General features: G+C 41.8%; 1 protein-coding gene across 3 annotated transcripts in view, besides 2 other annotated features; it reads left to right on the top strand.

The window, feature by feature from the left end:
- TIMM23 (translocase of inner mitochondrial membrane 23) overlaps positions 1-8,990 on the top strand; it is a 31,254-nt gene extending 22,264 nt beyond the window's left edge. For 2 of the 3 annotated variants that reach the window (NR_073030.2, NM_006327.4), the window contains one exon: positions 8,451-8,990. Coding sequence is in view for 1 of the 3 variants with exons in the window: in NM_006327.4 (NP_006318.1) it covers positions 8,451-8,566 (116 nt within the window). In the remaining 2 variants the exon portion in view is untranslated. Of the gene's footprint in view, positions 1-7,608; positions 7,733-8,450 lie in introns of all 3 variants that reach the window. The other variant, NR_073029.2, reaches the window with a different exon arrangement.
- Positions 3,203-3,745: an enhancer, noted in NCBI's record as "NANOG hESC enhancer chr10:51396871-51397413 (GRCh37/hg19 assembly coordinates)". NCBI's record gives its function as "activates a minimal SCP1, AML or CMV promoter by ChIP-STARR-seq in naive and primed H9 embryonic stem cells {active_cell/tissue: H9 hESC(naive and primed)}" and the evidence as "EXISTENCE:reporter gene assay evidence [ECO:0000049][PMID:30033119]".
- Positions 7,647-7,941: an enhancer, noted in NCBI's record as "tiled region #10440; HepG2 Activating DNase matched - State 5:Enh". NCBI's record gives its function as "activates a minimal TATA promoter and a strong SV40 promoter by Sharpr-MPRA in HepG2 cells {active_cell/tissue: HepG2}" and the evidence as "EXISTENCE:reporter gene assay evidence [ECO:0000049][PMID:27701403]".

The following is a 9,577-nucleotide window of genomic DNA, read 5'->3' on the forward strand; positions in this document are numbered from 1 at the left end:
TAAATTTCTGTATTTAAAGAGTACATTGGGGATTGGAAATAGTTTAGATCAGCAGGGATTAGCCATTCCCTAAATGTAAACTTCTTCAGTGGTGCTATACTTAGAGTGCCTAAGGTCATTTCCAAATCTATGAATCTGGAAGTTGAAGTTATATTTGTATTCCCACCACACAAAATTTATGTCTGTGCCCTGTCTTCCTGGGTCTGTTTTTAACCAGAAATTAATAAGACATTGATTTGCCTTTGTTAGAGTGATTTCAGTGTTTCGAGTTATTAAGACAGGAAGTGTGAGTCCATGTTGGAATTCTGGGTCAGCAGATTATTTACCTCTTCTACAATTGCAATGGAAATTGAAATCTATTTGTCCTGTGACATAGAATTAATGAGTATTCTTTTTTGCTTTTTCTCTTCTGAGCCAAGAGCTTTCTTTTCATAATTTATGTTGGAGGTGTTCCAGACTATGTTATGTTACTACTGCAAGAAGGTCCTTGCCACAGAAAGTTAGACTCTAATTTCTTTTGATAATATCAAATATTCAGCCTTTTCCTCTGTCTTAAGAATACATATAATATGCCTTAAATTAGATGCCATACTATAGTGGCTTCCCTTGTGTTAGAAAATGGAGTGGAGGGGGCTGAGCTGGAGCTTCCATGCCTATCTGATGGGCTAGAAACACCTCCCACTCAACTCCAGCCATTTGCCACTCTGCATAATTAGTGTACCTCATTTATTCAGAAGAAGCTGGAATCCCAGATTTTTATGTGAAATCTCCTGTTTTTAAAATATTTGATCTTTTTCAACATAATTTGGCCCAACAAAACTCTTGCTGGCTTGAGTGCTGCCCTTGTACTGCCAATTGAAGTTTAACATTTGTCTAACCCTAAAGACTTTCAAAGTGAAATTATTTTTAGGTTCTTAACAAGGTTTTTCTATGCCAAGGTAAAATTTTCAAGGGCATATGAGGTATTTACTGTCTCACTCAGAGTTCTGTTTAAGTGAGCACATGGGCATGCATGTTGGAGAAAGTGTTGTGAGCTCTTACGGATAAAGTTTGAAATGCAACCTATTTTCAATAGAAAAAAGCCTCTTACTCTCAGATATCTCAGAAAAACTTAGATTTTACAATCCTTTTAAGACTTAAGACTCTTAGGTCTGTGGAGTCAAAATGCTACGTGATATTTGTGGTGGATGAATTACTGAAAAACAGAATTCCTCAGCGAATCAAGTGTCTGATGCATAATAAACCAACCTAACAAAAAATGCTGCCTTTCGGAGGCAAGAATATAGAACATGTGTAGTTAATTAAGCTATTTAAAACAGAAATGTTAGGCCTGGCACAGTGGCTCACGTCTGTAATCCCAGCACTTTGGGAGGCCAAGGCGGGAGGATCACAATGTCAGGAGATTGAGACCATCCTGGCTAACACAGTGAAACCCCGTCTCTACTGAAAATACAAAAACATTATCCGGGCATGGTGGTGGGTGCCTGTAGTCCCAGCTACTAGGGAGGCTGAGACAGGAGAATGGCGTGAACCTGGGAGGCAAGGCTTGCAGTGAGCCGAGATTACACCACTGCACTCCAGCCTGGGCCACAGAGCAAGACTCCGTCTCAAAAAAAGAAATGTTATGAAAAATTTGGAAATATTCGTCACTAGCTGTATGACCTTTTGAAAAAGGTCCGCCTAATACCATGCTCATCTATAAAATTGGGGTATGATGATTATCAATTTACAGGATTGTGGTGCATTTTAAATGAAACAAGTTCCATTAAGTGCTTATTGCTGAAGGTATAATTCAGTGAATGTTCTTTCCTTTTCTTAGAGCAGAGTTTGGTATTTTATTTTCACCTAAGCCATTTTGGTTCAGTTCTTAAGGCTTTGATTATTTTTTTAAGTTGAATGGTGTTTAGTGTGCCCATGTTCATAACAGCATATTATTCACAACAGCCATACAGGCTGGGTGTGGTAGCTCATGTCTATAATCCCAGCACTTTGGGAAGCCAATGTGGGCAGATTGAGTCCAGGAGTGTAAGGGCAATATGGTGAAACCCTGTCTATACAAAAAATTAGCCGGGCTTGGTGGTGGGCACCTGTAGTCCCAATTACTGGGAAGGCTGAGATGGGAGAATCACCTGAGCCCAGGAGGTCAAAGCTGCAGTGTGCCTTCATTGTGCCACTGCACTTTAGCCTGGACGACAGAGTGAGACCCTGTGTCAAACAAAAAAAAAAAAAAAAAGATAGATTCTAAGAGGCCAAGGCAGGCAAATGGGCAGATTGCTTGAGCCCAGGAATTGGAGACTAGCCTGGACAACATAGCTACTAAAAATACAAAAAATGAGCTAAGCATGGTGGTACATGCTACTCCCGAGGCTGAGGTGGGAAGATCACTTGAGCTTGGGGAGGTCAAGGCTGCAGTGAGCCGTGATCATGCCACTGCACTCCAGCCTAGGTGACCCTGTCTCCAAAAAAGAAAAATGTGGTATATACATAGAATAGAATATTATTCTGCCTTTAAAAAGGAAATTCTGACAGATGGTAAGACATGGATGAACTCTGAGTACATTATGCTAAATAGGCCATCTATAAAAAAAAATGGTGTGATTCTACTAATGTGAGGTACTTAGAATAGTCAGATTCATGTGAGGTACTTAGAATAGTCAGATTCATACAGAAAAAAAGTAGAATGGAAGACGGCTGGGATGGGGTGTAGTTATTGCTAAATGGGCAGAGAGTTTCAGTTTTGCAAGATGAAAAGAGTCCTCTGAAGATAGATGTTGGTACACAGAGCACCGTGGCTCACGCCTGTAGTCTCAACACTTTGGGAGGCTGAGGCAGGAGGATTGTTTGAGCCCAGGAGTTCAAGACCACTCTAGGTAATATAGGGAGACCTCATCTCTACAAAAAATTTAGCCCGGTATGGTGGTGCATGATTGTAGTCCTACCTACTTAGGAGGTTGTTGTGGGAGGATCACTTGAGCTCAGAAGGTCGAGGCTGCAGTGAGCCTTTACCAAACCACTGCACTCCAGCCTGGGCGACAGAGCAAGACCCTGTCTCAGAAGAAAAAATAAAGGAAAAGTAGATGTTGGTAATAGCACAGCCGTGTGAATGTACTTAATGCCTCTGAAATGTACACTTAAAAATGGTTAAGGTGGTAAAATTTATGTTACATGTATTGTACCATAATTCTTAAAAGAATAAAGTTTTTTTAAAATTTTAAGACAGCTGCTGACAGTCCTCAACAATGGCATTTAGTAGTCATGTTAGTATGTAGGTAAGGCTGTTCCTATAGAACAGGAGCCACCAACTCCTGCTGGCCAGCTGCCTGTTTATTTGCTGTGAGAAGGCTAAGAATGTGTTTTACGTTTTTTAGTTACGTTTTAAATGGTTATATAAGTACCTACATAACAATAGCCTTTGACCCTCAAAGCCCAAAATGTTTACTATCTGGCCCTTTTAAAAAAGATACATGTTAATCTGTGCTTTAAAGTCATTGTCATTTGAATGCATTAGTTCTGCCACTAATCAACCCTATATCCCACAAACAAGGCACTTAAATATTCTGGGCCTCATTTTCTCATGTATAGAAGAGGTGGTGCTTGCCTATCGCTTTGGAAGAACTACATAAGGATCCCAAAATACAGGAGGTAAAACTGAAACACAAGTCATATTTGCTTTGCTTTATAGAGATTGACCATTGGCCTTATTTGGTTACTCTGTTCAAAGCAAGTACCTTTGCTTATCAACTTCCTGTGCTTAGTTGTGTAGAGTTGTTTGAGTAAAGAAACCCTAGAGACCCTTAAACTTGCAAACACATCAACCAATTGGGAAACCCTGGAATTAACGGAAACAGTTACAATTAGAACATGGCTGGTATGTGGTAAAAGGCCACCCTTGAGTAAAGATGCTATGTGATAAGTACAAACACCAATGTTTAGTGTCTTGTTGGAGTTGATTTTTTTTCTCTCTGGCTTTTAAGAAGTAACTTCATCGATTTGAACTAAGTTTTTGATTCATTTGGCAAGAAAATAGAAAGCTTTTGGGGGAGTAAATTATTTAATATGTTACTGGTGTCCCAAATATCTTTTTTTTTTTTTTTTTTTGAGACAGAGTCTTGCTGTATCGCCGAGGCTAGAGTGCAGTGATGCAATCTTTGCTCACTGCAACCTCCACCCACCAGGTTCAAGCAATTCTTTTGCTTCAGCCTCCCACATAGCTGGGATTACAGGTGCCTGCCACCACACCTGGCTAATTTGTGTATATTTAATAGAGATGGGGTTTCACCATGTTGGCCAGGCTGGTCTTGAACTCCTGACCTCAAGTGATTTGCCCACCTTGGCCTTCCAAAGTGCTGGGATTACAGGCCGTGAGCCACCATGCCAGGCCTTTTTAAAATTTTTTTTTATTTTTTGAGACCAGGTCTGGCTTTGTTGCCCAGGCTGAAGTACAGTGGCACGATCTTGGCTCACTGCAACCTCCACCTCCTAGGCTCAAGCAATCCTCTCACCTCATCCTCCCAAATATCTGGGACTACAGATGCATGCCACCATGCCTAGCTAATTCTTTACATTTTTTTGTACAGATGGGTATCGGGGAACCTGCCCCGATAGTCGCGTACATTCTTTTCTATTTTCCTTAAGCGTCAGCCAGCTTGAGAAATAAAGGGACAGGGTACAAAAGAGAGAAATTTTAAAGCTGGGCATCCGGGGGAGACATCACATGTCGGTAGGTTCCATGATGCCCCACAAGCCGCAAAAACCAGCAAGTTTTTATTAGGGATTTTCAAAAGAGGAGGGAGTGTGCGAATAGGTGTGGGTCAGAGACATCAAGTACTTCACAAGGTAATAGAATATCACAAGGCAAATGGAGGCAGGGCGAGATCATAGGACTACAGGACCAGGGCGAAATTAAAATTGCTAATGAAGTTTCGGGCACCATTGTCATTGATAACATCTTATCAGGAGACAAGGTTTTGAGAGCAACCGGTCTGACCAAAATTTATTAGGCAGGAATTTCCTCTTCCTAATAAGCCTGGGAGCGCTATGGGAGACTGGGGTGTATTTCACCCCTACAGTCTACAGACCATAAAAGATGGCCACACCCAGGGGGGCCATCTATAGACCTATACCCCCAGGCGCGTATTCTCTTTCCCAGGGATGTTCCTTGCTGAGAAAAAGAATTCAGCGATATTTCTCCCATTTGCTTTTGAAGGAAGAACAGTATGGCTCTGTTCCACCTGGCTCACTGGCGGTCAAAGTTTAAGGTTATCTCTCTTATTCCCTGAACATTGCTGGTACCCTGTTCTTTTTTCAAGGTGCCCAGATTTCATATTTGTTCAAACACACATGCTCTACAATTTGTGCGGTTAACGCAATTATCACATGGTCCTGAGACGACATACATCTTCCTCAGCTGACAGGATTAAGAGATTAAGGTAAAGACAGCGGCATAGGAAATCACAAGGGTATTGATTGGGGAAGTGATAAGTGTCCATGAAATCTTCACAATTTATGTTTAGAGATTGCAGTAAAGACAGGCATAAGAAATTATAAAAGTATTTGGGGAACTAATAAATGTCCATGAAATCTTCACAATCCATGTTCTTCTGCCATGGCTTCAGCCGGTCCCTCCGTTTGGGGTCCCTGACTTCCCGCAACAGATGGGGTCTCACCATGTTGCCCACGCTGGTCTTGAACTCCTGGGCTCAAGCAGTCCGCCCACCTTGGCCTTCCAAAGTGCTGGGATTACAAGTGTGAGCCACCACGTCCAGCCCCCAAGTATCTTAAAGCCTTATAGATTCCACTGTCACTATGTTACCCCTAGTGCATATGCCAAAGAGGATTCCCAGGGAAGCTTGTTATTTGATGGCTGAGAACTAATGTGAGAATCCTTCCACAAGGGCCAAGTAGATACCATGTTCTTAGAATGCACAAAGCAAAGAACCAGCTAGAAGCAGTGGTTTTGCAGCTCTTTCCAAAGCCCATGGACTGACTTCACAGTCCTGTGGATTATTGACTTATAGGTTCAGGGGAGTTAATCTGAAGTTGAATGTGTGGTTATAGGAAATAGTGTCTGCAAAAGTATTGTGTTTTCAATTACCGGCCCACCAGCATTTTTCCACTGACAAACAGCAGTGAGGGCACCTTGGCTATTGCTTGGTCTTACATTCAGAATGGGGTTTTGAGTTACTACATTTTGGCTACCTGCTTGGAAGAATCCTTATTACACTCAAAATTAGATCTAATAACTGAGCGATAGCAATGCTGTTGCAGATACCTTTAGCATTTATTCTCCTGTGCCTCATGGCTTATTTTTTCCACATTAGGAATTTGGTCTAGTTCACTTTCAGCTCTGCAGCTTTTTACTGATTTACTAGGCAGAGACATGAGGTCGATCCTTATTAAACTGAACAGATTATTTTGAGTATACACTATTTTCCAATTAGTACAATTTTTCAACCACATTGAATACAGTTGGAAGTTTAATTGCTGTGCCTACAGTCTGAATATGGCAAGTTCACAAAGAGATGATGTGAACTTCAAGGAGATACCTCATGTTATACTTTTAGTGGGGTTTTTTTGGGTTTCTTAAAAATGTTTTTGGTCCCCCTACATGACAGCTGTTTATAGATAATGTCTGCAGTTTCTGTTTGAGAGAGATAATTATGACACTTAGCATTGGAAAACTAAGAAGAACGTAAGCAGGTCAGCTATCAGAAGTCTTCAGACTGGAGAGATTCCTGGAGGGGGAGTGGCCCTTTAATCCATCAGCTGAAGCCATCTGGTAGGACGCTCGTTGCAGAAATGGTTAGTTCTGAAATGTTGTAACTCAGCAACATCACTGAATGTCACAGAATTGACAGGCACGGAGCTAAAAGGGCCTCTAGCCACCCCCACAACTCCGCTCTACCTCTGTCTCCCTAACACATGACTTGGAACAAATACACTCTAGGTACAAAGATGGCTACCTGAAGTTTATGATCCCTACTCATGGAGCTGCTTGAGGACTTCACATTTTTTAAAAAGCTGCTTTGGGCACCCCCATTCCTGAGGAGTTTTGTAGCTTGGTTTCTCTTTGCCACATTACGTTTGTAAGACTAACATTTTATAACCATAAGCAGTTAGGCCTTTTTATTTTGAGAAATTTATCTGTAGCTTCCTTTTATTTACACTTGGGGACTATTTTTAAGTAACCGATTGAAATATTTTTGTTTCTCCATTGCAAGTGAAATCCTTGTTGCTAATCTTTTGCCACATGTAAAATTGTTCACTTGTTATCAAGCAGGTAGTTCAATATCTGTAATTCTTGAGTTCTTTTCAACTAGCATGATGCTAGGTGTCACTCACTGTTTTTTAATTGTGGGAGATTGATGCGTCAGTGCATGAAGTGGGGGGTGGTCACCAGCATCTAACTCAAAGTGTGATTATAGCTATCTTACCACATTTTTTTTTTCTTTCTCACTCTGTCACCCAGGCTGGAGTGCAGTGGTGTAATCTCAGCTCACTGCAGCCTCGACCTCCTGGGCTCAAGCGATCCTCCTACCTCAGCCTCCCAAATAGCTGGGACCACAGGCGCATGCCACCCCACTAAGCTAATTTTTCTATTTTTTGCAGAGACAGGGTTTTGCCGTGTTGCCTAGGTTGTTCTCAAACTCCTGAGCTCAAGCCTGCCTCAGCCTCCCAAAGTGCTGGGATTACATGTGTGAGCCACCATGCCTGGCCGTCACTAATCTTCAAGGTTAATATTTGGAGGACCCATCCAGAGTCCAAAGGTTGTTAATACTCTTTCCAAATAGGGTGTCACCTTGTTTACATTACAGACTTAAATCCATTGACAGTGCTAGTGGAGTTCTAAATCATATTACTAGCAGGAAACGACTGTTCTAGTTGGAACTCCGTAATAAACTGCCATAGGAACAAATTGGAAAGTAGGGGGAAAAAAATTATGAATATGAAAATGTTAAGTCATATGTATTACACAAGTGGTATTACTTTAAAAACGTTGTCTCCTTTTTGAGATGGAATATTGATTTATTTTTAAAATGGTCTCTCCATTTCATAGTATTTTTTTTTTTTTTTTTTTTTTTTGACGGAGTCTCACTTGTCTCATCCTGTCGCCCAGGCTGGAATGCAGTGGTATGATCTCAGCTCACTGCAACCTCAGCCTCCTGGGTTCAAGTGATTATCCTGCCTCAGCCTCCAAGTAGCTGGGACTATAAGCACACATCACCACACCCAGCCAATTTTTTTGAATTTTTAATAGGGTTTCACTATGTTGGCCAGGCTGGTTGAACTCCTATCCTCAAGCGATCCACCCACCTCGGCCTCCCGAAGTGCTGGGATTACCTGAGCCACCGTGCCCAGCCCATTTCACAGTACTTTTTATTTAACCCTATCGTGCTAGGGCACTATGCAATATACAGCTATTTCATTTTCCTTTTGTCTCTGTTTCCCAGGTGGTCTTCGAGGGATAGCACGAGGTGGTCTGACAGGACTAACACTTACCAGCCTCTATGCACTATATAATAACTGGGAGCACATGAAAGGCTCCTTGCTCCAACAGTCACTCTGAAGATTTTGCCAACTCATGAATGGAGGACACTTCAGTAGTCATCTAGATCCTTTTATAAGACAGTTTGGAGTTATTCTCTCTCTTCTACCTACAATTAGTTTGAAAAATTGGAGATTTTGATTTGCTGTGATGAAAATCCTGGATGGCTGACCAAGACTGGCACTTGTTCCAGCCATTAGTGAGTTGAAGCCAAAGCCCTTTGGTGACTCACTGAGTACCATGGTTCTGTTCTCCTCTGGAGATCTTGCACGTATCTGTTTTCCTCCCCCATGAACTAGAAAACCACTTACTCCCAGAATTCAGGTCGTGCTTGTTAGTACTATATCACCAAGTCCATTCATTTAATGATCCAAAACTGTAATGTTGCACTGTATTCCAAATAAAGGGTAAAAACAGAACCAAAGTTATAACTCCAACACACAAACATAGTGGTTGTCTCAATTTAAAAGTATCTACCTGGGTATAAAGTGAAAGGTACCCTTGGCATTTTTTGTCCCAGTGGGCAAAACAACATCTTCGTGTTTGTGTTAAAATGAGCTACTTGGTGGCCGGGTGTGGTGGCTCACGCCTGTAATCCCTGTACTTTGGGAGGCCAAGGCAGGTGGATCACCTGAGGTCAGGAGTTTGAAAATCAGCCTGGCCAATATGGTGAAACCTTGTCTCTACTAAAAATACAAAAATCAGCTGGGTGTGGTGGGTGTGCACCTGTAACCCCAGCTACTCAGGAGGTTGAGGCTGGAGAATCGCTTGAACCCAGGAGGCGGAGGTTGCAGTGAGCCCAGATCATGCCACTGCACTCCAGCCCAGGTGACAGAGTGAGACTCCATTTCAAAAAAAGAAATGAGCTACTGGTGGCATTCACCAATAGAGCTGGTACTAAACCACCTCAAGGTATTTCAGGTCAGCCGTTAGACTAGTATGCTAGAACAATCTTTCCAACAATCCTGCTTCATTCCATACATATTAACTCACACCTTACTAGGAATAATTAAGAGCTAGGTTTTTTTTTTT

This window comes from Homo sapiens, chromosome 10, assembly GCF_000001405.40.
Source record: "Homo sapiens chromosome 10, GRCh38.p14 Primary Assembly".
In the NCBI taxonomy this organism is placed as follows: domain Eukaryota; kingdom Metazoa; phylum Chordata; class Mammalia; order Primates; family Hominidae; genus Homo; species Homo sapiens.